At 58.1% G+C, this 25,492-nt stretch overlaps 2 protein-coding genes and 1 long non-coding RNA gene across 6 annotated transcripts, besides 11 other annotated features; 2 read left to right on the top strand and 1 right to left on the bottom strand.

Moving 5' to 3' along the window:
- Positions 51-320: a silencer, noted in NCBI's record as "silent region_13159". NCBI's record gives its function as "represses an Ori minimal core promoter by ATAC-STARR-seq in GM12878 lymphoblastoid cells {active_cell/tissue: GM12878}" and the evidence as "EXISTENCE:reporter gene assay evidence [ECO:0000049][PMID:35858748]".
- Positions 651-800: a silencer, noted in NCBI's record as "silent region_13158". NCBI's record gives its function as "represses an Ori minimal core promoter by ATAC-STARR-seq in GM12878 lymphoblastoid cells {active_cell/tissue: GM12878}" and the evidence as "EXISTENCE:reporter gene assay evidence [ECO:0000049][PMID:35858748]".
- Positions 921-1,010: an enhancer, noted in NCBI's record as "active region_18226". NCBI's record gives its function as "activates an Ori minimal core promoter by ATAC-STARR-seq in GM12878 lymphoblastoid cells {active_cell/tissue: GM12878}" and the evidence as "EXISTENCE:reporter gene assay evidence [ECO:0000049][PMID:35858748]".
- On the top strand, positions 1,109-10,484 carry PTK6 (protein tyrosine kinase 6). Of its 2 annotated transcripts, NM_005975.4 has the most exons (8): positions 1,109-1,400; positions 3,426-3,547; positions 4,170-4,333; positions 4,781-4,934; positions 5,798-5,959; positions 7,558-7,739; positions 8,254-8,407; positions 8,762-10,484. In NM_005975.4, exons 1-8 carry the CDS (start codon positions 1,171-1,173, stop codon positions 8,947-8,949), a joined length of 1,356 nt encoding a protein of 451 aa, NP_005966.1. In that variant the 5' UTR covers positions 1,109-1,170; the 3' UTR covers positions 8,950-10,484. The 2 variants fall into 2 exon arrangements, with proteins under 2 accessions (NP_005966.1, NP_001243287.1); NM_001256358.2 differs by lacking the exon at positions 3,426-3,547.
- Positions 9,055-9,349: a silencer, noted in NCBI's record as "tiled region #4884; K562 Repressive DNase matched - State 8:EnhW". NCBI's record gives its function as "represses a minimal TATA promoter and a strong SV40 promoter by Sharpr-MPRA in K562 cells {active_cell/tissue: K562}" and the evidence as "EXISTENCE:reporter gene assay evidence [ECO:0000049][PMID:27701403]".
- Positions 10,485-16,278: 5,794 nt separating the features above from the next.
- Positions 16,279-17,744, bottom strand: PPDPF (pancreatic progenitor cell differentiation and proliferation factor). 3 transcript variants are annotated; one of them, NM_024299.4, is made up of 4 exons: positions 17,591-17,720; positions 17,122-17,201; positions 16,896-16,973; positions 16,279-16,817 (listed from the first exon to the last, which is right to left on the bottom strand). In NM_024299.4, the coding sequence occupies exons 2-4, from the start codon at positions 17,174-17,176 to the stop codon at positions 16,606-16,608; spliced, it is 345 nt and encodes a 114-aa protein (NP_077275.1). In that variant the 5' UTR covers positions 17,177-17,201; positions 17,591-17,720; the 3' UTR covers positions 16,279-16,605. The 3 variants fall into 3 exon arrangements, 2 of the variants coding, with proteins under 2 accessions (NP_077275.1, NP_001340352.1); NM_001353423.2 differs by having other exon boundaries at positions 16,321-16,780; NR_148427.1 differs by lacking the exon at positions 17,122-17,201 and having other exon boundaries at positions 16,314-16,817; positions 17,591-17,744.
- Positions 17,268-17,467: a silencer, noted in NCBI's record as "silent region_13157". NCBI's record gives its function as "represses an Ori minimal core promoter by ATAC-STARR-seq in GM12878 lymphoblastoid cells {active_cell/tissue: GM12878}" and the evidence as "EXISTENCE:reporter gene assay evidence [ECO:0000049][PMID:35858748]".
- Positions 17,578-18,127: a silencer, noted in NCBI's record as "silent region_13156". NCBI's record gives its function as "represses an Ori minimal core promoter by ATAC-STARR-seq in GM12878 lymphoblastoid cells {active_cell/tissue: GM12878}" and the evidence as "EXISTENCE:reporter gene assay evidence [ECO:0000049][PMID:35858748]".
- Positions 17,578-18,586: a biological region, named in NCBI's record as "H3K27ac-H3K4me1 hESC enhancer GRCh37_chr20:62151252-62152128".
- Positions 17,710-18,586: an enhancer, noted in NCBI's record as "H3K27ac-H3K4me1 hESC enhancer chr20:62151252-62152128 (GRCh37/hg19 assembly coordinates)". NCBI's record gives its function as "activates a minimal SCP1, AML or CMV promoter by ChIP-STARR-seq in primed H9 embryonic stem cells {active_cell/tissue: H9 hESC(primed)}" and the evidence as "EXISTENCE:reporter gene assay evidence [ECO:0000049][PMID:30033119]".
- LOC102723814 (uncharacterized) lies at positions 17,812-21,227 on the top strand. The gene is made up of 2 exons (XR_430332.4): positions 17,812-20,013; positions 20,600-21,227. It is a non-coding gene; the product is annotated as an uncharacterized LOC102723814 (long non-coding RNA).
- Positions 18,188-18,437: a silencer, noted in NCBI's record as "silent region_13155". NCBI's record gives its function as "represses an Ori minimal core promoter by ATAC-STARR-seq in GM12878 lymphoblastoid cells {active_cell/tissue: GM12878}" and the evidence as "EXISTENCE:reporter gene assay evidence [ECO:0000049][PMID:35858748]".
- Positions 18,587-19,463: an enhancer, noted in NCBI's record as "H3K27ac-H3K4me1 hESC enhancer chr20:62150375-62151251 (GRCh37/hg19 assembly coordinates)". NCBI's record gives its function as "activates a minimal SCP1, AML or CMV promoter by ChIP-STARR-seq in naive H9 embryonic stem cells {active_cell/tissue: H9 hESC(naive)}" and the evidence as "EXISTENCE:reporter gene assay evidence [ECO:0000049][PMID:30033119]".
- Positions 19,464-20,341: an enhancer, noted in NCBI's record as "H3K27ac-H3K4me1 hESC enhancer chr20:62149497-62150374 (GRCh37/hg19 assembly coordinates)". NCBI's record gives its function as "activates a minimal SCP1, AML or CMV promoter by ChIP-STARR-seq in naive H9 embryonic stem cells {active_cell/tissue: H9 hESC(naive)}" and the evidence as "EXISTENCE:reporter gene assay evidence [ECO:0000049][PMID:30033119]".
- Positions 21,228-25,492: the final 4,265 nt, after the last annotated feature.

Genomic DNA, 25,492 nt, shown 5'->3' with positions numbered 1-25,492 from the left:
AGGGACTTTCCTTACCACCCCTTGCAGACTTTGAATTTCCCTTCCCGCCCCTTCCTGCCCCCTTGTGGCTGCCAGTCCAGGTCCCTGGGTTGGAGCTCCCGGGTGGACACAGTAGGGTCAGTGGGAGGGTGGGGCGGGGAGGGGCCTCCAGGGAGGGGGTGTCCCGAGTCTCAGGGGCTGGGGGGCAGGCGGCCGTCGGGTGCAGGTGGGGGTCACGGCAGGGCTCACTCAGGCATGAGTCGGGAGAAGGGAGGCCAGCTGGAAGGGGGCAGGGGTCCTGCGGGCTGGACAGGAGGAGGCAGAGGCTGGAGGCGGGAGGGGCTGCCTGGGAGGGACCTGTGGCCTTGGGCCCCAGCGCCATGGGCGCTTCCAGGCCGCACTCACGGTCCTTGCCTGCCCCCTGGCGTCCGTGTGGAGGAAGGCAGTGCCCGTTTCTTCAGCCGTGGGTGCCCCTGGCTCTGCCTCCCCGGGGATCCCCCAAAACCCTCGGGCCCTCCTCTTCCGGGAAGTCCTCCGGGCCGACCCACACAGCTGTCGCTGCCCTGATTCCACTCCCTCTTCCCTGCTTGGCCCTTACCCGAGGGCGGGCCTGCCCATGAGGCCGCTCTCAGGACGCCTGCCCACAGCAGCTCCTGACATTGGGCCCTGTGCTCAGGGGTGGAGTCTGGGGCTGGGTGAGGGCACCGACGGGTGGAGGGGAAGCTGCCGGAAGCGGGGAGAGAGGCGGCCCCCACCTGTGCCCCCGCAGCTCTGAGGGTTGGGAAGGCAGCGCCTGCAGCCCTCACCTTCCTGCCCTCAGGCTGCGAGGCTTGTTCCCAGAGGGCCGTTGGCTTCCCTGAGTGCCTGAGTGTCCATAAGTTGGACCCCCAAGAAGCCCCAACCGGGAGGTCCTCCTCCCCCTCTCCTGCGCTCAGGCCGGCCCTGGCGGTGCTTGCCCAGTGGGTTCCCATAGTGCGGGCGCTAAGTGCTCAGATGGGCCCCAGTGGGCCTGAGGACTTGTGGGGCCGGCTGGGCCCTCAGGAGGAGCCGGGGTGCTCTGGAGCGCCTGTGGGTGCTGGGTGTGGCTGCTTCCCGGCCTGTCATGAGGAAGTGGGACGGCCCGCCTGCCACGCCCAGCTCTGGGTGCTCCAGCTGGGCCACAGCCTGGTCCTGCCGCTGCGCCCGCCCGCCATGGTGTCCCGGGACCAGGCTCACCTGGGCCCCAAGTATGTGGGCCTCTGGGACTTCAAGTCCCGGACGGACGAGGAGCTGAGCTTCCGCGCGGGGGACGTCTTCCACGTGGCCAGGAAGGAGGAGCAGTGGTGGTGGGCCACGCTGCTGGACGAGGCGGGTGGGGCCGTGGCCCAGGGCTATGTGCCCCACAACTACCTGGCCGAGAGGGAGACGGTGGAGTCGGAACCGTGCGTGTCCTAGGCTGCTGGGAGCTTTGGCACAGGCCACCCTCTAGGCACAGGGGAGGGACAGGGCTCTGGGCTGCTCAGGGAGGCCCAAGAAGGTGGGGACCCCGGTTCCATCTTCCTGCACCCCAAAGTCCAGGCTGGGCATCCCGCTTGATCCTCCCTGCAGGCCCCATGCGCTGGCGCCCAGGAGTGCCCAGGACTGTCCCTGCGGGAGTTGGAGCACGGGGGTCAGAGGGCACGGCCCCTGCCTTGGGCTCATCCTTGTCACAGCTCGGGGGTGGACGCTGCATTGCCGGGACCCAGGGAGGACAGAGGGTCCAGGGTGGACTTCTGGGGCCCGGTGGCCAGTGACAAGGTCTGTCGGAGCGTTCCAGGGCCTTTGGGGGAAACGAAGCTTGAAGCTTGCCCAGTTTCCAAAGTGCCGGAACCAGACACACGACCTAGTTAGGGGAGCGGGCCGGCTGCCGGGCAAACTTCCTGCCTGCTGTGCCCTGCGGGGAACCAGACAGCAGCTGGTGTGGCCTGGCCCTGGCTTCCACAGCTGCCCGGAGCTCAGGCTGAGGAGGGTCACGCTCCTGAGATCCCGCGTTTCTCATCAGTGATTGGGCACCCACTGTGTGTGTGCGTGAGTCACAGGCTGTGTAGGGTTAGCTCCCGGGGGACCCAAGCAACAAGCAGGGGAGGCTGTAAAGAGGCCGTCGGGCAGGGGCCCATGGTGGAGACCCCTCTATTACGTGCAGACCCACGACCTCGTTAGCAGGGTCACGCGCAGACCCACGACCTCGTTAGTGAGCAGGGGTGCAGGGGTGGGGTCTGGCCGGAGGCTGGTCAGCTCCCAGGTGCAAAGACCCTGAGTCCTGAGAACTCGCCCAGGTGAGAAGTGGGGAGGAGGCCAGGTGAGGAGGGGGTGGGAGGCCAGGTGGGGGGGGGAGCGGGAGGCTAGGTGGGGGGGGCTGGAGGCCAGGTGAGGGGGGGCGGGAGGCCAGGTGGGGGGGGCGGGAGACCAGGAGAGGAGGGGACGGGAGGCCAGGAGAGGAGGGGGCGGGAGGCCAGGAGAGGAGGGGGCGGGAGGCCAGGTGAGGAGGGGGCGGGAGGCCAGGTGAGGGGGGGGCGGGAGGCCAGGTGAGGGGGGTGCGGGAGGCCAGGTGAGGACGGGGTGGGAGGCCAGGTGAGGGGGGGGCGGGAGGCCAGGTGAGGAGGGGGCGGGAGGCCAGGTGAGGAGGGGGCGGGAGGCCAGGTGAGGGGGGGGGCGGGAGGCCAGGTGAGGAGGGGGCGGGAGGCCAGGTGAGGAGGGGGCGGGAGGCCAGGTGAGGGGGGGGGCGGGAGGCCAGGTGGTTGGAGGGGCAGGTGGGGCAGTGCTTCCAGGTGTGCGGAAGTGGAGGGGGTGGACCCCAGGGGCTCCATGCTGGGCCGTGGTCTTCTGTGTGGGGTTTGTGTTCCAGTGACCTGAGGGAGTCAGACACACAAAGGGCGCAGGTCACCTGGAGCTTCTGCAAGCTCCACCTGGAAGTCCACAGTCCAGGGCTGGCCCACACCCCGCAGCCGGGAGTTAGTGCGCGCGAGTGGCTGTGTGTGCGTGCGTGTGAGCGTGTGGGCAAGTGAGCACACATGCGCGTGTGTGTTCAGGTGTGCGGGTGAACTGTGCGCATGTGTGGGGGTTTGTGACTGTGTGTGTGTGAGCGTGCGTCACACATGGGTGTGTGCAGGCAGCTCTGGGCAGCCATCCTGCTCAGCTGCCCTCCCCAGCTCCACCCTAGGCTCTGACCCCTAGACTCGGGCCACTCAGGGCAGGGTGTGGTAGCGCCTGCCCCTGCCCCCGCCGGGTCCTCAGGGGCCTGTCCTGGCCTTTCGGGACATTCAGGGCGTCTGGGTCAGCGACAGCTCCTGAGAGCAGCTGTGGTCAGGGCTGGGAGCTTGAGGTGGCAGGCAAGGGCGGCTGGGGTTCCAGGCGGGCAGGCTGGGGCCAGCGTGGGGTCCACGTGGGGTGGGCCCAGGTCCGCGTGTTCTCAGACTCCTCCCCTGCAGGTGGTTCTTTGGCTGCATCTCCCGCTCGGAAGCTGTGCGTCGGCTGCAGGCCGAGGGCAACGCCACGGGCGCCTTCCTGATCAGGGTCAGCGAGAAGCCGAGTGCCGACTACGTCCTGTCGGGTGCGGCCCCGGCCTCCGAGCCTGTGCTTGCCTGCGGGGGCTCCTGGCTCTAAGCCCTCCCAGCCACGTGGTGAACCCGGCTCGCTCTGGCTGAGACGGGGGACATGGGCTCCTCTCCAGGGAGCTCCCATCCCCTCCGCCCACCTGGCCCGCTCCTCCCTGGGGCCTGGGTCACTGGCTGCTAGGGTAGTCGTGGGGCAGGGCCCCTCCCTGGGAGGGCAGGGGCTTCTCCAGCCAGCCCTGCCCGAGGCACTCGTGGGAGGTCCTCAGCACCCATGGGAACCTCGCCCAGCATGAGACCTGAGCCTGGGGTGTGCGGGGCGCAGAGAAACCCCATCCCTGCCCCTGAGGATCTCAGCATGGCTGGGATTTTAGGCAGCTGCCATCCAGGCGGAGGCCACTGGCTGCCTGGCACGGGGGCAGGAGGGGCCAGAGAGCTTGGCCAGAGCGTGCAGGGCAGGAGGGAGCCGTTCTGAGGGAGGGGAGGCAGGGGTGGTACTGAGGAAGCACCAACAGCAACTGTGGGGACCCAGAAACTCTGCGCAGGTGTGGCCAGCAGGGCTGGGGACGCAGGGAGGCGTCGGAGTTGGGGTGGCCACACAGCTCACGCTCTCCCTCCCAGTGCGGGACACGCAGGCTGTGCGGCACTACAAGATCTGGCGGCGTGCCGGGGGCCGGCTGCACCTGAACGAGGCGGTGTCCTTCCTCAGCCTGCCCGAGCTTGTGAACTACCACAGGGCCCAGAGCCTGTCCCACGGCCTGCGGCTGGCCGCGCCCTGCCGGAAGGTAGCCGCTCCGCCCTGACTTGGTCACGCGGGGTCAGGCTGGGGGGTCACAGGCTGGCATTTCCTACTGGGAGAGGTTGGCCGGGCAGCATGGGAGGGGTCCTGACTCACTGACCTGGGGCCCACTGGAGGGAAGCCCATGGTTCTGCAGAGCACAGGTGTTTGCCTGAGTTGGGGGTGGGGCCAGGAGACCATCCCCGGGCCTGGCCACTCTCGGAGAGGCCAGCGGCACTCTGCAGGGTCCTGGCTCCGGTCTGTCTGGGTGTTTCATGCTGGGCTGGGGGCAGCCCCCAGGAGAGTCCACCCTTGTGTCAGACACTCAGAAACCCCCAACCCAGGCTGATCGTGGCCCTAAATCTGAGGCTAAATCCAGGCTCCCTGTGCTGGCTTCAGACTGGCACTTCCTGAAGGATGAGCCCCTGCCCTGTGTCCCCGACTCTTCCTCCAGCACGAGCCTGAGCCCCTGCCCCATTGGGATGACTGGGAGAGGCCGAGGGAGGAGTTCACGCTCTGCAGGAAGCTGGGGTCCGGCTACTTTGGGGAGGTCTTCGAGGGGCTCTGGAAAGACCGGGTCCAGGTGGCCATTAAGGTGATTTCTCGAGGTGAGTGGGCCCCGATCAGGGCTCTGTGTGGCCCCGTGCCTGCCCTGGGCCACCCTCCCACCCCGCCAACAGGGACCTCTGGCCTCGAGCCCCAAGCAGCACCCACAGCGTCCATGCGAGAGTGGTTCCCTTTCAATTGCACCTATGTTTTTACCTAAATACATTTATTATAAAAGAAAATTTTAGGCCGGGCACGGTGGCTCACATCTGTAATCCCCACACTTTGGGAAGCCAAGGTGGGCGGATCACGAGGTCAGGAGTTTGAGACCAGCCTGGCCAACATGGGGAAACCACGTCTCTACTAAAAATACAAAAATTAGCCGAGTGTGGAGGCATGTGCCTGTAGTCCCAGCTACTCGGGAGGCTGAGGCAGGAGAATCGCTTCAACCCAGGAGGCGGAGATTGCAGTGAGCTGAGATCGCGCCATTGCACTCCAGCCTGGGCGACAGAGCAAGACCCCGTCTTGGGAAAAAAAAAAAAGAAAGAAAGAAAGAAAATTTAAAATCCTTGACGTAATGGAAAGCCATTAAAATAGATCACTGGAAATGGGTAAAACTTCCCTGGAACCCGTCTGGGCCCCAGCAGAGGTCTGGCCTCTATGTCAGAGGTCTGGGCCGGGCACAGGAAGAAATCGGGTGGCCACCACAGCCCCGTGGGTACGCCAGGCTGGGGCCCTGTGGGGCCGGCTGCATCTGCCATTTCGTGGCCTCGGGAGCCAGGTGCCCTGTCGGGGGCAGGAGGTCTGTGTGTCCTGCACAGCTGCTGGGTGTGATGGCTGCTGTGTGTGGGGGCAGGGCCTTGGCCTCTTCCTTGGGGCCTGGGGGGTCAGGGGCTGCATCCACCGAGGCCACCCGTCCCCGCAGACAACCTCCTGCACCAGCAGATGCTGCAGTCGGAGATCCAGGCCATGAAGAAGCTGCGGCACAAACACATCCTGGCGCTGTACGCCGTGGTGTCCGTGGGGGACCCCGTGTACATCATCACGGAGCTCATGGCCAAGGGCAGCCTGCTGGAGCTGCTCCGCGGTGAGTGGCATGGGCCGGGGCTCTTGCTGGAGGCAGCGGGGGCACGTGAGGAAATAAAGTGCACACCCCCCCCCCACGTCTACACACACACACACGTAGACACACAGACACACAGACACACACATGCACACACAGACACAGACACAGACACACAGAGACACACACGCACAGACACACATGCACACACACATGCACACAGACATACACATGCACACACAGACACACACACAAGACACATCACATGACACACACAGACATACACATAGACACAGACACACACACAGAGACACACAAAACAGATCACACGGACACACACAGACACACACACAGATCACACGGACACACACAGACACACACACACACAGACACACACTGATCCAGACACACACACAGACACACACAGATCACATTGGCTCAAAGACTTCATCCTCTCTAAGTTCCATTATTTCCTTTCTCACCAAAACCAAAGACAATCGCTGCCAGGGAATGGAGATGCCCGTGCGTGAAGGCGCAGTTTGGATTCCGATGTTAGAATGGGAGGGAACGTTGTGGTATAGGAAAAATGCCGTGTGTGTCTGAGGAGAGCTACACTGAGGCACCACGCACGTTTGCGCTCTGAGCGAAAGGCTCCGTACCCCTCGCCCTCACACAAAGGGCTTGATCATCTCAGACAGTCCCCACGCCCTTCAGGGTCCTCCGGGAGGGAATGTGGGGTAAAACAGGCACCACCAGGCCGCAAGCCGCTGACAGCCATTCTCCTGTTCGAGTTCCCACTGCCTACATCACGCAGTCATGAGCCTCTTCGCTGGTCCTTCTGCGTCCAGCTCCTCCCGCGTCATCACAAACTTCCAGAAGGGAAATCGCTGGGCTAGACCACTAGGAACTGCTCCTTGGTTCTTTTTTTTTTTTTTGAGACGGAGTCTCACTCTGTCGCCCAGGCTGGAGTGCAATGGCGCAGTCTCGGCTCACTGTAACCTCCACCTCCTGGGTTCAAATGATTCTCCTGCCTCAGCCACCTGAGTAGCTGAGATTACAGGCACCTGTCACCACGCCCAGCTAATTATATATATATATATATATATATATATTTTTTTTTTTTTTTTTTGAGACGGAGTCTGGCTCTGTCGCCCAGGCTGGAGTGCAGTGGCGTGATCTCGGCTCACTGCAAGCTCCGCCTCCCGGGTTCACGCCATTCTCCTGCCTCAGCCTCCCGAGTAGCTGGGACTACAGGCGCCCGCCACCACGCCCGGCTAATTTTTTGTATTTTTAGTAGAGATGGGGTTTCACCGTGTTAGCCAGGATGGTCTCGATCTCCTGACCTCGTGATCCATCCGCCTCAGCCTCTCAAAGTGCTGGGATTACAGGCGTGAGCCACCACGCCCAGCTTGCTCCTTGGTTCGTGATAAACAGTTGCCTTCCAGAAGGGCGGTAGCTGGCCTGCAGTTCCAATTTTCAATCAGGCCAGCTGCCCTTTGCCCCGGCCCCTCCTCTGAGCCCGCAGAGCTTGGAGGCAGATGAGACATGGCCCAGCCTCCCCAACCCTTCCCCACCTCAGCTGGCTCAGCTGACCCCAGGCTCTGCTCCACTCCCCTCTGCAGACTCTGATGAGAAAGTCCTGCCCGTTTCGGAGCTGCTGGACATCGCCTGGCAGGTGGCTGAGGGCATGTGTTACCTGGAGTCGCAGAATTACATCCACCGGGACCTGGCCGCCAGGAACATCCTCGTCGGGGAAAACACCCTCTGCAAAGTTGGGGACTTCGGGTTAGCCAGGCTTATCAAGGTAGGGCCCTCAGAGGGCGTGGCTGGGGTCGTGGCCGGGGCGTGGCCGGAGGGCTGGGGGCTTCCTGTGTGTGGAGCTGGGGACTCGGCTGGGAGCAGGATGCGGCCCCTGCCCTCGGGAGCCCAGGCTGGGCAGGGAGGTGGGAAGCCACCGTGAGTCCGGTGGGGCCCCCATTCTGAATGGCACGCACAGCAGGGCCCACCACGCAGCCGCTGCCTTGTTCACGTGCCTTGTTCACTGGCCCAGCCCTGGGCCCCTCTGACGGCCTGGGAGCCTCCCAGTTCCCTGTCCCCCGGGCCCTCCGGTCCCCACACACCTGCAATCCCAGGGGAAGTTGGGCTCCTGAAGGTGGTCAGGCCCCAGTGTGGCCTTAGCTGCAGCGGCCGTGCGTGGGTCAGACAGTGGGGTCATCACCGTCCCACTGCTGGGGCAATGCGGCCGCTGTGCCCGTCCATGCTTCGGGGGCAGGGCACAGGCAGCCCCCACGGCCCACTCAGCTCCAGGCTGATTGCAGGAGGACGTCTACCTCTCCCATGACCACAATATCCCCTACAAGTGGACGGCCCCTGAAGCGCTCTCCCGAGGCCATTACTCCACCAAATCCGACGTCTGGTCCTTTGGGATTCTCCTGCATGAGATGTTCAGCAGGGGTCAGGTGCCCTACCCAGGTACTGTCCCCACTGTCCCTGACTGGGCATGAGAGGCAGAGTGGGGGAGGTCCTGGGTAGCCGGCAGGGACGCTGGGGGGTGCCTCCCCCACGGGCTTCAGGGCCCTCCGCGGGCCATCGCCTGAACTCCACACCTGCACCATTCTCTGAGCACCCAGGCTGGTGCCTGGAGCTGCCTGTTGGAGCCCTGTCCAGAGGGAGGTGTTAGCAGTGGACAGTGTGCTGGGTGGCGCCAAGGCATGGCAGCTGAGGCTGCGGGGAAGGCCCCAGGAAGGGGCAGTGGATGGCTGGTGTGGCTTCTTGGGGGAGGGTAGGCAGGTGGGCCCCAGCTCTTCTCATCCCTGTCGGCCGCAGGCATGTCCAACCATGAGGCCTTCCTGAGGGTGGACGCCGGCTACCGCATGCCCTGCCCTCTGGAGTGCCCGCCCAGCGTGCACAAGCTGATGCTGACATGCTGGTGCAGGGACCCCGAGCAGAGACCCTGCTTCAAGGCCCTGCGGGAGAGGCTCTCCAGCTTCACCAGCTACGAGAACCCGACCTGAGCTGCTGTGGAGCGGGCATGGCCGGGCCCTGCTGAGGAGGGGCCTGGGCAGAGGGCCTGGACCTGGGATCAAGGCCCACGCGCTTCCCTGGGGTTTACTGAGGTGATGGGTGCAGGAAAGGTTCACAAATGTGGAGTGTCTGCGTCCAATACACGCGTGTGCTCCTCTCCTTACTCCATCGTGTGTGCCTTGGGTCTCAGCTGCTGACACGCAGCCTGCTCTGGAGCCTGCAGATGAGATCCGGGAGACTGACACGAAGCCAGCAGAGGTCAGAGGGGACTCTGACCACAGCCCGCTCTCTGGCTGTCTGTCTGCAGTGCCCGGCTGAGGGTGGGAGGCAAACACGCCTTGTTCCTGCTCTTCCCAGTTCAGCTTGGTGGGAGAAAGTCATTCGCGTGGCTCGGGACGCTCATGTAAATTTGGTTTTGGTGCTCAAGGGTTCTTTCCTCCCAGGGGCAGGTGTTTCTTTCCTGTTTGTCTTGTGTCTTGAGAGCTTGGCCTTATGACCAGTGAGAACTCTCTCCCTGGTCTCTGCCAGCCCAAGCATCACTGCCCGAGGCGCCAGCTCAGTTTCACCGTCCACGTCCACAAGGGGCTTTTCCCACCTTCACCTTTGTCGCTGGGTCAGTGCTGGAAAGCGCCCCTCACTCCTGCGCTGACAAGGGCCCTTCTCTACTGTCTGTGGGGTGGTTCCGGGCTGGGGGGGCTGCCTCCTTTGCACCTGATTTTGAAGGTGTCTCTTTCATCCATGGTTAAGTCATAAAAAGCTTATTGGTTTTGGTTTTGACTCACCTGAAAGTTTTTTTGGTTTAAAAGAAGAATAGGCGGGGCACGGTGGCTCATGCCTGTAATCCCAGCACTTTGGGAGGCTGAGGCAGGTGGATCACGAGGTCAGGAGATCGACACCATCCTGGCTAACACGGTGAAACCCCGTCTCTACTAAAAAATACAAAAAATTAGCTGGGTGTGGTGGTGGGGGTGGGCGCCTGTAGTCCCAGCTACGTGGGAGGCTGAGGCAGCAGACTGGTGTGAACCCGGGAGGTGGAGCTTGCAGTGAGCCGAGATCGCGCCACTGCACTCCAGCCTGGGCGACAGAGCGAGACTCCATCTCAAAAAAAAAAAAAAAAAAAAGAAAGAAAGAAAAATAATTTTGGGAGTTTCTGGAAAGGTACTAGGATTTCTCAAAAGGATTTGTCTTCTGCCTTGTGAAAGACAGATGTCAGACTAATCAGGCTTATCCGATGTGCTACATGAGATGGAAAGCGTGTGAAATAGTAAGTCACACTAAGTCTTCTGGAGGTTCTATTTACGGGTTTGGTTTTGATATGAATGTTGCAGAAACTCTATAAAATTCCTAGAAATCTGATACGTTATCCTATGATATATATCCTATCTCACATGCTATTCCTAGAAATCTGGTGCAATGTTATCAGTCATAATTTTGGTTATTACATTAAAATGCTGCATGCCACAGAAATAACCAAGTTTCCTTGCCAACCGTGTCACGAATATAATAAACTCTCATCAGATCCTGAGCCATGGCTATCTTAAGTCTTCGGTCATTCACAGTTATTATCTTACTTTGATTTTTTCTGAAAGCTTTGCAATCAGCTAGTCCCAAATTGTTTATTCTTCAAAGAGATTCCTGGGAAGGATTCTGACAGGTGCTCTGGAGCACAGGTTTCTGGTTCAGGTCATAGCCTTGGATTGGGTGCAAATTTCCAGAACTCGAAGGAGGGACCTGGCAGGTCCATGAAAGTTCTGTCCCAGGATCAACCAGAACAAGAATTAATGACATGGGAATGAATGAACTGACGAGGATGTTTACTGTTTAATGACTTTTGTCTGAAGCATTACGGTTCTTTAATATTTTGTTTTCCAGATGTAAGAAAACGTTTTTTGTTTCTGTTTTTGTTTTTGAAGACAGGGTCTTGCTCTGTCACCCAGGCTGGAGCGCAGTGGCGTGACCACAGCTCATTGCAGCCTTGAATTCCCAGGCTCAAGTGATCCTCCCGCCTCAGCCTCCTGAATAGTTGGGACTACAGGAATGCACCACCACACCTGGCTAATTTTAAATTTTTTTTTTTTTAGGAGATTCAGGGTCTTGCTATGTTGCCCAGGCTGGTCTCGAACTCCTGGGCTCTAGCAATCCTCCTGCCTCGGGACTACAGGCCTGAGCTGCTGCGCCCAGCCTGGGCACGAAAGCCGTCTGTACGAGAGTTGCTGGGGAAATTTCTCTGAAGTCTGTATCAAGTGGGGCAGCTTCAGCTTACAGGGCTTTGGGAAAAGAGCAGTTTTAATTTTCAGTGACTCCATGAGGAATGGTGGAAGAAAAAATTGGAAAGAGTGGTTTGGTGAGCTGTAGGCAAATATTGGAGGAAACTGAAGTTCAGGACCCGGTCCGGACCACAGGTGGGCGACAAAACCTCCAGACAGCAAACCGGGCTAGAGTCTAATAGTGGGGGCACGAGTTTTATTTTGAAACATAATTTTTCTCTCTACAGTCAACAAATTTCTTTTTCTTTTTTTTTTTTTGAGATAGAGTTTCGCTCTTATTGCACAGGCTGGAGTGCAATGGCTTGATCTCGGCTCACGGCAACCTCTGCCTCCCGGGTTCAAGTGATTCTCCTGCCTCAGCCTCCCGAGTAGCTGGGATTACAGGCATGCGCCACCACGCCCAGCTAATTTTTGTACTTTCAGTAGAGATGGGGTTTCTTCACGTTGGTCAGGTTGGTCTCGAACTCCCGACCTCAGGTGATCCACCCACCTCGGCCTCCCAAAATGCTGGGATTACAGGTGTGAGCCACCGCACCCAGCCAACAAATTTCCTTCTTCCTTTTTTTTTTTGAGATGGAGTCTCGCTCTGTCGCCCAGGCTGGAGTGCAATGGCGCAATATTGGCTCACTGCAACCTCTGCCTCTCGGGTTCAAGTGATTCTCCTGCCTCAGCCTCCCAAGTCTCTGGGATTACAGGTGCCTGCTACCACGCCCGACTAATTTTTGTATTTTTAGTAGAGATAGGGTTTTGCCATGTTGGCCAGGCTGGTCTCGAACTCCTGACCTCAGGTGATCCGCCCACCTCGGCTTCCCAAAGTGCTGGGATTACAGGTGTGAGCCACCGTGACCGGCTGCAAATTAACGCATTTCTATCAAAGATAATAAAAGTAGGATTGTTTTCAAATTAACACATTTCTATCAAAGATAATAAAAGATTGATTTGATTGCAGAGTAAGTTTGGCCTCATTAAACCTGGTGTGGTTATTTATGTAAGTGGAACAAGAATAGTGATTAACCACATAGGTTCTTCCTCATTTTTGTTTTCCAACAGGGCCTCACCCTGTCACCGAGGCTGGAGTGCAGTGGTACCATCATGGTTCACTGCTGCCTTGACCTCCTGGGCTCAAGCCACCTTCCAGCCCCACCCTCCAGAGTAGCTGGGACGACAGGCATGTGACACCACACCTGGCTAATTTATTTGTATTTTAGTAGAGAGGGAGCCCCACTATGTTGCCCAGGCCAGTCCTGAACTCCTGGGCTCAAGCAAACCTCCCATCTCAGGCTCCCAAAGTGCTGGGATTATAGGTACACCTGGACACGTGGGCTCTTTTAAAATTTGCTTTACTGGAACTTTTTTTTTTTTTTTTCCTGAGACGGAGTCTTGCTCTGTCGCCCAGGCTGGAGTGCAGTGGCGCGATCTCGGCTCACTGCAAGCTCCGTCTCCCGGGTTCATGCCATTCTTCTGCCTCAGCCTCCCGCATAGCTGGGACTACAGGCACCCGCCACCATGCCCGGCTAATTTTTTTATTTTTAGTAGAGACGGGGTTTCACCGTGTTAGCCAGGATGGTCTCGATCCCCTGACCTCGTGATCTGCCCACCGTGGCCTCCCAAAGTGCTGGGATTACAGGTGTGAGCCACTGTGCCTGGCCTACTGGAACTTTTTATAAGGAATCTGAGATTGGGCTTTTAAAAGCCTCTTGAGGCTAGGAAGCCATCGCAAAGACTTGCCATCAGACTTTGCCTGCAATAAGTACAGATTTAGGGGAATTCCTCTCTTCTTGAGGTCCCTAAGGTATCTTAAGATTCTGGGACCTGCCAGGAATTGACATTCTTTACTCATCTGTAAGGGAACCACGTATGTGAGGTACCAGGCCAGCTTTTTTCCAAGGGGCTTTATTGGACCATGCAGTCAACCCTAACTCCTTTAGTCGTATCTGAAAATAGGACATTCCAGTCAAAGCCTTGGTAATATAACCAATGTTTTCAATTGTGCCCTATTACAAGAACAGATTCTCATTGAACTTATGCAAACCCACTAACAGTTTCTGAATTCTGGGATTAGGGAGGAAGAAAAAGATAAATATTTCACCGTTGAGGCCATTCTAACCTCCCTGCCTTTCTTCCCTGAAGCAGGCCATAAAACCCAGGAAGGCCACTCCCAGACCCTCTCCCTGCAGACCCTCACGTGGTGTCCCGCCCCCTAACCAGAGGAAAGGGATGTCAGAGTCAAGTCGGGCCTTGATCACACCCTTCCATCCTCCGCTCACTCCTGCTCCGCTGTGAAATAGACCATTTCTTTGGTCTTTGTTTTGAAGGGGCCCACATCACATGGAACTCGCATTAAATGTTTGTATGCTTTTTCTTTTTTTTTTTTAAGACAGAGTCTTGCTCTCTGACGCCCAGGCTGGAGTGCAGTAGCGCAATCTTGGCTCACCGCAGCCTCCGCCTCCCGGGCTCAGGGGATCCTCCCATCTCAGCCTCCCCAGTAGCTGGGACTCCAGGCATGCACCGCCACGTCTGGCTAATTTTTTTGTTTTTGATAGAAACAGGGTTTTGCCGTGTTGGTTGCCATGTTGACCAAGCTGGACTTGAAGTCCCGGCTTCTAGTGATCCACCTGCCTCAGCCTCCCAAAGTGTTGGGAATATAGGCGTGAGCCACTGCGCCCAGTTTAATCTGTCTTTTGTTCAAGGGTCTGTTGGATACAGTGAGTTCTAGATTTCTCTTAGAGGACTCAGCATGTATGTTCAGTTCTTTGTTCTCCATTTAACTCGTGCATAGTTTCAGTAAACAACCTTTTCCACCAGTTTTAATCAATAGTTCACATCTGTTCCCCTGGTCACCTGCTCCGTCCTGACTCATCCTGGTACCTGTTTTTTTTTTTTTTTTTTTTTGAGATGGAGTCTCGCTCTGTTGCCCAGGCTGGAGTGCAGTGGTGCGATGTCCGCTCACTGCAAGCTCCGCCCCCCGGGTTCCTGCCATTCTCCTGCCTCAGCCTCCCGAGTAGCTGGGACTACAGGTGCCCGCCACCACGCCTGGCTAATTTTTTTTGTATTTTTAGTAGAGACGGGGTTTCACCACGTTTGCCAAGATGGTCTCGATCTCCTGACCTCATGATCCACCCGCCTCGGCCTCCCAAAGTGCTGGGATTACAGGCGTGAGCCATCGCACCCGGCCCCTGGTCACCTGCTCTGACCTAAGTCATCTTTAGCTACCTGTTCCTGTCCTTCCTGCCAAACTACTCACCCCACCACTCTGGGTCACACCCCTGCTCTCTTTAAAATAGTCAATCAGAATTACCTTAGAGTGTGCAGTCCAACCCCACCCAACAGGGGAATGACACAGCCGTAGAGGCTACCTGTGTCAGGAATAAGAACCCCTTCCCCTCCCTTGTCCAGGTGCGCTCTCACCATTGCTCCATCCGCGAGTCGCACCCTTCTATAGAAGTAAAAATTGCCTTGCTGAGAAAATTAATGTTTGAGTGCTATTTCTTTGTGGCACCGAGGAAGCATTTTGTTTCTAACAGGTCTCAGCCATGAAGCTTGTGATGGGTGAGGAAAAGATATGACTTCTCCCCCTACAGAGAATCTGATGAGGGTGCAGCTCCCAGGAACAGGCCATGGACACCCCCAGGGTTGTGAGGTCCTCCAGTCAAGGGGCCCCCTGACCCGAGGCAGGGGACGATGCCGCGGGCAGCCTGTGGCTCGGCTGCTCCCTACTCCCAGCTGCCCCTTCCAACAAGACACCAGCTCCCGGGCAGTGCCCCTCCCCCGCTGACTCCAAAAGCCAGGACAGCTTCTTTCCAAGCAGGGTGGACCCACCCTTGGTCCTGACCCCAAGCCCTCCAGCTCAGCCAAGGGCGGAGCCCCCCCAGGCCATGTGTGGTGGGGACCTGAGCGTGGCTGGGCTCTCCCTTCAACACCAACTCCTGCTACCCTCACAGCTGTGTGTACATGGAGGAGGGTCTCTGTGGGCTTCATCTGGACACTGCAAAAGGCTGCAGGGGGCTCAACTGCCATTAGGAGCAGCCTCCCACTCCTGGGTCCATCGGAGGCTCCCCCACCCAGCCTCAGCACTGACCACCGGCTTGGATGGCTGGGTGAGGCTGCCTCCACCCTGTGGACAGGACAAAGGCTCAGCCATCAGAGGCCACAAGCCAGATGCCTTCCCACCAGCTTCCCACCAACTAGTACAGCTATTTATAGTGCAGTGGAACAGGGTACCAGGCAGGGAGCACCCACTGATCCCCACCCCTCCCCAGAGTCCCTCCCCCACCACTGAACCCCACCCTTTCCCACCCCACGGAGGCCCCTCCTCTCACCATGTCCCTGGCCACACATCAAGTCTCCAGCTATCTCACTGACTCCCACCTGCTCACTAAGCTGCCTCTCAACAGAACTGAGTCAATCCCTGTAGGCTCCTGGCAGAGGTGTGGGGACACCACCCACCTTGGTTATGAAGGAGTCTACTAAGCTCACAGCCCATGCACTCCTGTGTGTGGACCCCCATCCCTGCCAGCCTGCAGCACTCCCGGACTCCAACACTCCATGCCTATACCAGGCCAGAATGATGCAGCCACCCTCACTTTAAGCTGGGCTGCCTGTGGCAGGAAGACCCCTCCACGGTGCCTGCAGCCCCTACCCCTCAGCCTGTCTTGGGGCAACACCCCTATGGGAGGCCCTTGGGAGACACCTACCAGCAGGAACCAGGTCCCTCCAGAGTGAGGGCTTCCCAGCTCACAGCCAGAGGCTACTCCCCGCCCCGCAGGCCCTCGGGTAAGGGGCCTGAATCCCTCAGAGGACCAGCCCTCCCTGCTCCCTTTCCCCCCGCTAAAGGTGGCACGGGGGCCCACCTCAGTGGCTGCCCTGGGTCCTGCTTGTCCAGCTCCAGGACTGCCTGCTGTCCAAGGCTCTCCAGAAGCAGCAGTGAACCCCACCCTTATCAGCCCCAGCAACAGCCTCACAGCGTGAGGAGGCCCAGAAAGGCCTGGGAGCAGGGCCAGCCCCCACAAGGCAGTGAGGTCGGGAGGGATTCAGCCATTTCTCACACTCAAATGGAACCTCGGGCCACACAGCTCAGGCACACACCATCGGGGCTACTGGCTGCTTGGAGTTTATTTTCCGCTTGGTGCCAGGTGCACAGTTCCAGGTGTCAGGAAAGCTAGCGAGTGCTGGGGCCGGGCGGTAGAGAGCGGGGCTCTCACTGGTTTTTGGTGTCTGCTGTGTTGATGCGAAGGTCTGCTTGCTGCAGCCGCCTAGTTTACAGGGTGGGGGGTGGGAGGTGGGGAGGGGGGCGAGGGATGCGGAGTGGGGAGAGGGGCGGGGAGGGGCTCTGGTGGACTAGCGCCTCCGCAGGCCTGGGGCTGGTGGTAACCGCTCAGGTCAGGACGGGGGCCCAGCGCTGGCTGTGCTGGACTGACCGCCGGGCTGCTTCCTCGGGGCGTCCCGAGCCAGGCCACAGGCGGTCATGCTGCTGGAGGCCTGGGGAGGTTCCGAGTGCTCTGCGGACTCCAACACCGTGGCCATGAACGGGAGGGTGGACTTCCCGAAAAAGAAGCTGGCCCACCAATGACCCGGGTCAGCCTTGGGGAGACCTGAGAGAAGCGAAGTGGGGTCTTGATGCTGCCAGCTCCTGGAGGAGCGGGGGGAGAAAGGGGCGATCCTGCACTCACCTGGGGGGTGGGGAATGGCTTCCCCGGGGCACTCGGTACTGCTGCAGGAGCTGTTGCTGGAAGTGGAACCCAGGCGGCCTGGAGAGGAGAGGTCCCGTCAGCAACGCGGGGCGCGGAGCCCCCCAGCCCACCGGCCTTCAGGCCGAGCGCTGGTTCCGCAGCCTGCACGGGGCCGGCACTGGCGCCAGCAGAGCATCCGCGTGGATGGGGGGCAGGGGCTACTCACGCCGGTAGTAGTCGTGGGTGGCCACGAGCGAGCCGCTGGAGGGGATGGCCGCCATGCTTTAGCTTGCTGGCTGGTGGGATCTGCGCATGGGGGTGGAGGAGCCCCTCGGGTCAGCGGCCTTCCGTCATGAAGGGCGCTCCCCAGCGGGTGGAGCCGCCGCGCTGGGTTATTTACCGAGGCGGGGCTCCCCAGCTCCCGGCACCGCCTTCGCCGCGCGGGGCGCGGGCGGCTCCAACCAGCCCAAACCGGCCGAGCGGGTGGAACAAAGGCGCTTTGTGCGCGGGGCCCCGGCCCAGACGTCGGGAACCTGGTGGGCGCCGTCCCAACCCGCCCGACCCGAGAGGAGCCCGCCGGGGACCCCGAGCCCAGCGCTCGCCAGGCGGAGAGGAGAGGAGCCCCCGGCCCAGCCCCGCCCCTCGCCCCCCGCCCCTCGGGCCTGCTCGTCCCACCCGCGCGCGGCGCCCCTCACCTGGGCGGCGACCCCTCGCGGGCCTCGGCGCACGATCACGGGTGGCGGGGACGGGGGCGCTAGGCCACGGAGCCCATTTGCAGAGAAGACCGCGGGAAGCCGCGCCACGACAGAGAGGCGCGCGCGGGGTGCGCACGCGCGGACGCGCCCACTTATATGCGCGGGGGCCGCGGCGCGTCACGGAGGGCGGGGCGCACAGGCTCCTCCCCGGGCCCCACCCGGCCCCGCCCCTTTCCTGGCCCCGGCGAGGCCGCGCCCCCAGCTTCCACCTCGGTGCGACTCTCGCCGTCTGGCTTGGGCTGAGCCCAGCCCTGCGGCGTTCGTCTTGGGGCGGCCCGGCCGGTCCTGGGTCTGCAGGGGTTAAAAGGCCCCGCGCCCGGGTCCGGGAGCCCAGCCCCCGCCCCTCTCCCGGGCCCAGGCCCCCGTCTCGGACGCGTCTCGGAGCCCCGCCTGGTCCAGCCCGCCCGTCCTCTTCAGCCCTTGTGGAGGCGACGGGGGCGCCGGGCGGGCCAAAAAGTGCTACGTGCGCGGAGCCCTCCGGCCCGGCCTCCAGGGACTTCGCAGCCAGAGGAACCTGGATCTCTCCCGAGTCCCCCTCACAGCTCTGGCAGCTCCGGAACCTGCACCCCGGTTGCCCAGCCCCAGGACGCGCCTGCTGCCCGCAGGGGGCGGTGAAAGGGTGGGCGGATGGCGGGGCAGTGGGAGGCGGGGCCCAGTCGGAGAGCGGGGCGGATTTGGGCGGGTGAGGTGAGTCTCCAGTCGCCGGAGGCAGAGGCTGGGCCCCACTGCTCGGAGACCCCATGTTTGGGGAGCCCAGAGCGTTCCCGGCAGGGCCCTGGGGCCCGGGGGACGGCCCGCCATGCCAATCAGGAGGGGGCGCGTTTTCCCTTCCCAGGCAGAAAGGCGTCCTCCCTCTCCTCCTCCCCCCAGCGCAGAATCCTCCCCACACCTCCCTCGGCCCCGCAGGGGAAATCGGCCTGCCCCTACGGAAATCCCGTTTCTTTATACACCCGGTCCTGGCTGGGCGGTGTCTTCCCCGTGGAAGAGAGGGTCCGGGAGGTCCGTGGGGCGGAACAGTCCGAGGGCTTCGGGAGTCAGCCCGGGTGGATTTGTTTCGTGGCTCTCGTTGCTGGCTGGGACGGCCGTGTGCCCGTGTTGTTCCGGAGATCGAGGCCAACGGATGCCGTACTCTGTCCTCGCCGGGTGCTCAGTGAGGACCCACAGCTGGGCAGGGACCCTGGGAGGCCCCTGAGCAAGACTTGGAGGGACGCCCTTGTGCCCCCTGAGCACGTGGGGAAGGCGCTGTCCTGGGCCCTGCACCGCTCTGTGTGTTCATTGCACGAGTGTGGTAAGCACCTACTATGTGCACATGGCCGAGCCAAGCGCAGGGAACGGTAAACCAAGGGAGAACGGCCTTCCCGTGGGGAGCAGTGCAGAGGCTGGCGGGGGCGGGTGGTGGGGAGAGCTCAGGTTTCAGCTGAGGTCTAAGGACGGAGGGCAGGGAACCGCCTGAGCCCCACCTGGGAGGGGGAGCTCGGTGCCGGAGAGCAGTGCCAGGACCTGCGATGGGAGAGGTGTGCAGCCCCGAGGGGTCACTGATGAGGCAGACGGGTCAGTTGGGTTGACACTCAGAGGGTCCTCAGGGGCAGACGCTGAGACGGGGTTTGGGGTTTGGGGTGCAGAGTGAGTACTGGTGATCAGCACCTGGGAAGGGGTGGGGAGGGTGCAGGGCCGGGCAGGGACTGTAGGGGCGGCCTGCGTTGGGCTTGGCTGGCACAGCCTTTGTGGCTTGCTTGGACCCATATGCAGCCGCCCAGGGACGGGAGACCCTGGTGAGGTGTCTGTGGTCCAGGCCCACCCTGAAGGAGCCGTGGGGCCGACTGCCGACCACGCCTGACAGCACGGCCTTCCAGGTCACCCGCTTCCCTCTAGGCTGGCCTGACCCAGCTCACCTCATTCTCAACCTCACCAGTCAACACCGGTCAACATCAGTCACAGAGCGTCTGAAAGGAGGAATTTTCATTTTCCTTTAAAGTGAAAAGGTAAAAACTGCATTTACTAAACCAGGCCGGTGGGGGCTCTGTGAGCCCCTCTGCACAGGAAGCCTCAGAGACGCTGCATGGTGTTCCCGGGGCATCCTGGCCAAGGTGGGAGAACGCAGCCTCCGTGAGGACCCGCGGGATGCCCTCGGGGGCCGCCTCCTGGTTCTCGTCTCCTCTGAAGTGCAGACGACGCTGGCCCACATCCTTGTCGGGCAGAGGGGCTGCCGACTGGCCCCTGGCCATGGCTCTTGCTGGGAGCCGTGTGGCCTGGGCTTGGACCCACATCCACCTCTTGCTGGCTGCCTGCTCTTGCCAGTGGCTGAGCCTGGCTTCTCCCATGACAGTGGCCGCAGACAGAGGGGACCCGTGCCACCAGGCAAGGTGAGCTCAGGGAACGCTAGCTCTCCTCTCCCTTGGCTCTGAGGGGTTCGGCGGTGCCCTTGGTGTGTCTGGGGGCTTTTGGGAAGTCCCAGGTCTGGGCTCTGGGTCAGGAAGCAGGAGCGAGGAGAGACACTGCACCCGAGCCTCCCCGGCTGTAGGAAATGGGGGCAGAAAAGCTAAGCGGACGGAAGATGCATTGTGCGCAAGCTATAGCAGGCCGGTTCAGGCCCGGTTGCTGCTAGGATGTGATCATTGGCAGGGATGAGATTGACGGGGACGGTCAGCTGGAGAGGACAGGGCACAGCTGGACGAGGGCGGGGACGGCCACAGGCTTCCCACAGGGCGGGAGGGAAAGGCTTCCAGTCCCACTTGTAAGGGCTGCCTGCCACCCTGTAGCCACTGTCTCCTCCCTTGTGGACGGGACGATGGTGGCACCTTGTTATGGTTGGGTTAACATACATATGTTAAGAATGCGTTAACCCCAGCGTGTGGGGAGGACTAGATGGGAGAGGCCCCTAGTGCGGAGGCTCACAGCCTTGCTCGGCCCCTGGGAGCTGTCGCCACCTGCACTGTGCTCCTCCCACAGGTGTCTGGGGGCGAGGTGAGAGTTCTGCCAAAGCCGGAGCCAGGGTTGGACCCCCGGAGCTCGTTGGTCGGCCCCTGGAGGGAGAGTGGTGTGTTCACACCACGGCCCTGGTGGCCCAGCTCTGCCCATCTTCATCCCAGGTGGCAGCTGCTGCCCAGCTCTCTGGCCAGTGCCTCTTAGATGGTGTCACCACCTGCAGAAGAAAACAGAAGTGCTGACTAATATTTGATGAAGGCCTGCTATGCCGGCGGCACCTGATGTGGCAGGTGAAGTCCGGGGGGCAGCAGCCAAGGCTGCCTGTTCCTCAGTGTCCCTGCGCGTGAGACGGGCATAGCTAACTCCTGTGGCCACCTTGAGGGTAAGATGCTTCCTGCAGGTGCTTGGACCAGTATCTGGCACGGGGCAGGTGCTCAGCGAAAGTTCCTTATTAATCCCTGTACCTTTCACTGTTGGAAGTAACTCAGGACATTGGCTTGGTGGTTACACAAGCACTGTGGGAGAAGGTGGTGTATCTGTTCACCCTGGGTCCCAGTGGCTGAGGCAGAGCCAGCCATGCAGGAGGCAGGCGTCCAGTATGTATATTGGATGGAAGGTTGAATTGCATAATAAAATATATTAAAGATTTCCAGAGTGGAGGGGTGAGGAGGTCAACAAACCCTCTCTCCAAAATGTACCTGTAAATCTAAACAAAAGTCAGAAACAACCATGTCAGTGCTTTGGAATTTAACCAAAGGCAAACAGCAAACCAAGGAGTGTTTATTCATCAAAGAGCCACGCGCTGTGGTCCCAGCCACTCAGGAAGCTGAGGCAGGAGGGTCACTGGAGCCCAGGAGCTGGAAGCTGCAGTGAATTACGATGGCACCTGCTCTCCAGCCTGGGTGACAGAGAGAGACCCCATCTCTAAAAAGAATAAAACCCTGGACTTAGGATAAAATCCAAAATTACTTGGCATAACTGAACCAGGAAAATCTCAACTTAAATGGAAAACGAGGCCGGGCACGGTGGCTCACGCCTGTAATCCCAGCACTTTGAGAGGCCGAGGTGGGCGGATCACGAGGTCAGGAGATCGAGACCATCCTGGCTAACATGGTGAAAACCCATCTCCACTAAAAAATTACAAAAAAATTAGCCGGGCGTGGTGGCGGGCGCCTGTAGTCCCAGCTACCTGGGAGGCTGAGGCAGGAGAATGGTGTGAACCCAGGAGGTGGAGCTTGCGGTGAGCCAAGATCGCGCCACTGCACTCCAGCCTGGGTGACAGAGCGAGACTCCGCCTCAAAAAAAAAAAAAAAAAAAAGAATAAAACCCTACACTTTAGGATAAAATCCAAAATTACTTGGCATAAGTGAACCAGGAAAATCTCAGTTGCTGGGCATGGTGGCTCATGCCTGTAATCCCAGCACTTTGGGAGGCTGAGGCAGGCAGATCACCTGAAGTCAGGAGTTTGAGACCAGCCTGACCAATATGGCAAAATCCCATCTCTACTAAAAATACAAAAATTAGCCGGGCATGGTGTCGGGCACCTGTAATCCCAGCTACTTGGGAGGCTGAGGCAGGAGAATCTCTTGAACCTGGGAGGTGGAGGTTGCAGTGAGCTGAGATCACACCATTCCAGCCTGGGCGACAGAGCAAGACTCCATCTCCAAAAAAAATAATAATAATAATACAAAATTAGCCAGGCGTGGTGGTGCATGCCTGTAATCCCAACTACTCAGGAGGCTGAGGCGGGAGAATTGCTTGAAACCTGGAGGTGGAGGTTGCAGTGAGCTGAGATTGCGCCATTGCACTCCAGCCTGGGCAACAAGAGTGAACTCCATCTCAAAAAAACCCCGAAAAAACAAATAAATGGAAAAAAACAGTCAGCAAATGCTAACACTGAGATGGCACAGGTGCTGGGATTTGTAAAAATGCACCAACCTGCAGTTGTAAGCCCCTTACATCAAGCGATGGACAGTGAGCGAGCATTGGACAACATTTAGTGTGCGTTCACGGTGAACATCTCGGCAAAGCAGGAACAGAAAACAACTTCAATCTAAGAAAGAGCTCTGATGAAGTATTTACAGCCAGTGCTGTACTGAGGTGAGAGAATCCTTTTCCCAGGACTGAGAGCAGGACGAGCGCATCCACTCCTACTCCTATTATCAACATTTACCGGCCGGGCGCGGTGGCTCACAACTGTAATCCCAGCACTTTGGGAGGCCAAGGCGGGTGGATCACTGGAAGTCATGAGTTCAAGACCCGCCTGGCCAAGGTGGTGAAACCCCATCTGTACTAAAAAACAAACAAACAAACAAAAAACATGCTAGGTGTGGTGGTGCGTGCCAGTAGTCCCAGCTACTCAGGAGACTTAGGCAGGATTGCTTGAACCCAGGAGGTGGAGGTTGCAGTGAGCCGAGATCATGCCACTGCACTCCAGCCTGGGTGACACAGTGAGACCCTGTCTCAAAAAACAAAAACAATAACAACAACAAAAAAGCCATCTATTGGAAGTCTTAGTCAGTAAAATACAAGAGAAGCAAAGTACAGGCATACAGATTGAAAATGAAGAAATAAACCTCTCCCGATTCCCAGACAACATGATTGTCTATGTAGAAAATCCCAAGGAATCTACAAAAAAGCAAACTCAGTGAATAAGTGGGGTTAGCAAGATGGCAATATACAAAGTCAACATGCAAAAATCCATTGTATTTGACATGATTTGGCTGTGAGTCCCCAACTGCATGTTGAATTGTGATCCCCAGTGTTGGAGGTGGAGCCTGGTGGGAGGTGATTGGGTCATGAGGGTGGTTTCTATTTTCTTTCTTTCTTTTTTTTTTTTTTTTTTGAGACAGAGTCTCGCTTTGTCCCCCAGGCTGGAGTGCAGTGGCCCGATTTCAGCTCACTGCAACCTCCGCGTCCTGGGTTCAAGCAATTCTCCTGCCTCAGCCTCCCGAGTAGCTGGGACTATAGGCGCCCGCCACCATGCCTGGCTAATTTTTTTTTTTTTTTGTATTTTTAGTGGAGACGGGGTTTCACCATATTGGCCAGGCTGGTCTCAAACTCCTGACCTTGTGATCCGCCCGCCTCGGCCTCCCAAAGTGCTGGGGTGTCAGGCGTGAGCCACTGCGCCCGGCCTCATGTTGGTGGTTTCTAATGGTTTGGCACCATTCCCGAGTGCTGTCTGGTTATAGAGTTCTCACGAGACCTGGTGGTTTGAAAGTGTGTAGCAACTCCCCCTTCACTCTCTTCCTGCTGCCACGTGAAGATGTGCTTGCTTCCCCTTTGCCTTTCACCATGATTGTAAGTTCCCTGAGGCCTCCTGTACAGCCTGCAGAACTGTGAGTCAATTAAACCTCTTTTCTTTATAAATTACCCAGTCTTAGGTAGTTCTTTATAGCAGTGCAAGGACAAACTAATACAGTATTTCTACCTGCAATGTACAGTTAGAATCAGAAATTTAAAAAAATGAAATGTTAATGAAAGTATCAAGACCCAGGCAAACGGAGAGACATGCTGTGTTCCTGGGTTTTGGACTCAACAGTAGAGATACTGATTTTTGCCATGTTGATTTATACATTAAATGCAATTCCAGTACAAATCTCAGCCACATTTTCTGAAGATATAGACAAGCAGTTCCCACAATTAAAATGGAAAGATGAACTAGAACAACTACAACAATTTTGGAAAATAATGATACAGAGGCCGGGTGCGGAGGCTCACGCCTATAATCCCAGCACTTTGGGAGGCCGAGGCAGGCGGATCACTTGAGGTCAGGAGTTCAAGACCAGCCTGGCCAACATGGTGAAACCCCGTCTCTACAAAAAATACAAAAATTAGCCAGGCCTGGTGGTGCACACCTGTAATCCCAGCTACTCAGGAGGCTGAGGCAGAAGAATTGCTTGAACCTGGAAGGTGGAGGTTGCGGTGAGCCAAGATCACACCACTGCACTCCAGCCTGGGTGACAGAGCGAGACTCTATCTCAAAGATAATGATATAGAGAAATTATGCTACCTCAATAATTTTTGTTGAGGTAAAATTCCCATATCATAAAATTAAGCATTTTAAAATATGCAATTCAGTAGCATCATGGAACACTCGCAATGCAGTGCACCCATCACCTCTGACTAGTTCCAAAACATTTCATCTCCCCAAAAGGAAACTACACCCATTAAACAGTCTCTTCCCCTGTCCCCGTCCCCAGCCCCTGGCAACCACTAATATGCTTTCTGTGTCTCTGAATTTACCTATTCTGAACACATCATACAAATGGAATCATACGAGTTGTGCCTTTTGTTTCTGGTTTCTTCACCCACTTTTCTAGATTCATTTTTTGTGGCTGAATAGCATTCCTTTGTATGGATAGACCACATTTCTCTCTCCATCCATTTATGGACGTCAGTTGTTTCCACCTTTTGGATATTATAAATAGTGCTGTTGCAAACATTCCATGTACAAGTTTTTGTTTGAATACCTGTTTTCAACTCTTTTGGGTCTGTACTTAGGAGTGGAATTGCTGGCTCACACATCGCTGTCTATGTTTAACTTACTGAGGAACTGCCAGACTGTTTTCCGCAGTGGCTGGAACATTTTATGTTGCTACCAACAATGGAAGAGGCTTCCCATTTTTCCACATTTTTGCCAACCTTGATATTTTTCATATTTCTGATTATAGCCACCTCAGAGAGTGTGAAGTGGTGTCTTACTGTGGTTTTGATTTGCATTTTCCTAATGACTAATGATATTGAGTGTCTTTGTATTGTTGAGTTGTAAGAGTCCTTTGTATATTCGGAATGCTGGACCCTTATCTGCTGTGATTCACAAATATTTTCCCCCATTCTATAGATTCTCTTTTCATTCTCTTGACAGTGTCCTTTGATGCTCAAAAGTTTTTAATTTTGGCAAAGTCCAGTTACCTA

This window comes from Homo sapiens, chromosome 20, assembly GCF_000001405.40.
Source record: "Homo sapiens chromosome 20, GRCh38.p14 Primary Assembly".
NCBI classification, from domain to species: domain Eukaryota; kingdom Metazoa; phylum Chordata; class Mammalia; order Primates; family Hominidae; genus Homo; species Homo sapiens.
This window is presented reverse-complemented; position numbering and strand designations above follow the sequence as displayed.

Bases quoted from the DNA above. Each gene is read 5' to 3' on its own strand.
- PTK6 (NM_005975.4), top strand. From the start codon at position 1,171: ATGGTGTCCCGGGACCAGGCTCACCTGGGCCCCAAGTATGTGGGCCTC. The intron at 1,401-3,425 runs GTGCGTGTCCTA...CCTCCCCTGCAG, and splicing joins GAGACGGTGGAGTCGGAACC to GTGGTTCTTTGGCTGCATCT. The intron at 4,935-5,797 runs GTGAGTGGGCCC...CCGTCCCCGCAG, and splicing joins CATTAAGGTGATTTCTCGAG to ACAACCTCCTGCACCAGCAG.
- PPDPF (NM_024299.4), bottom strand. From the start codon at position 17,176: ATGGCGGCCATCCCCTCCAGCGGCTCGCTCGTGGCCACCCACGACTAC. The intron at 16,974-17,121 runs GTGAGTAGCCCC...TCTCCTCTCCAG, and splicing joins CACCCACGACTACTACCGGC to GCCGCCTGGGTTCCACTTCC. The intron at 16,818-16,895 runs GTGAGTGCAGGA...CGCTTCTCTCAG, and splicing joins AGCCATTCCCCACCCCCCAG to GTCTCCCCAAGGCTGACCCG.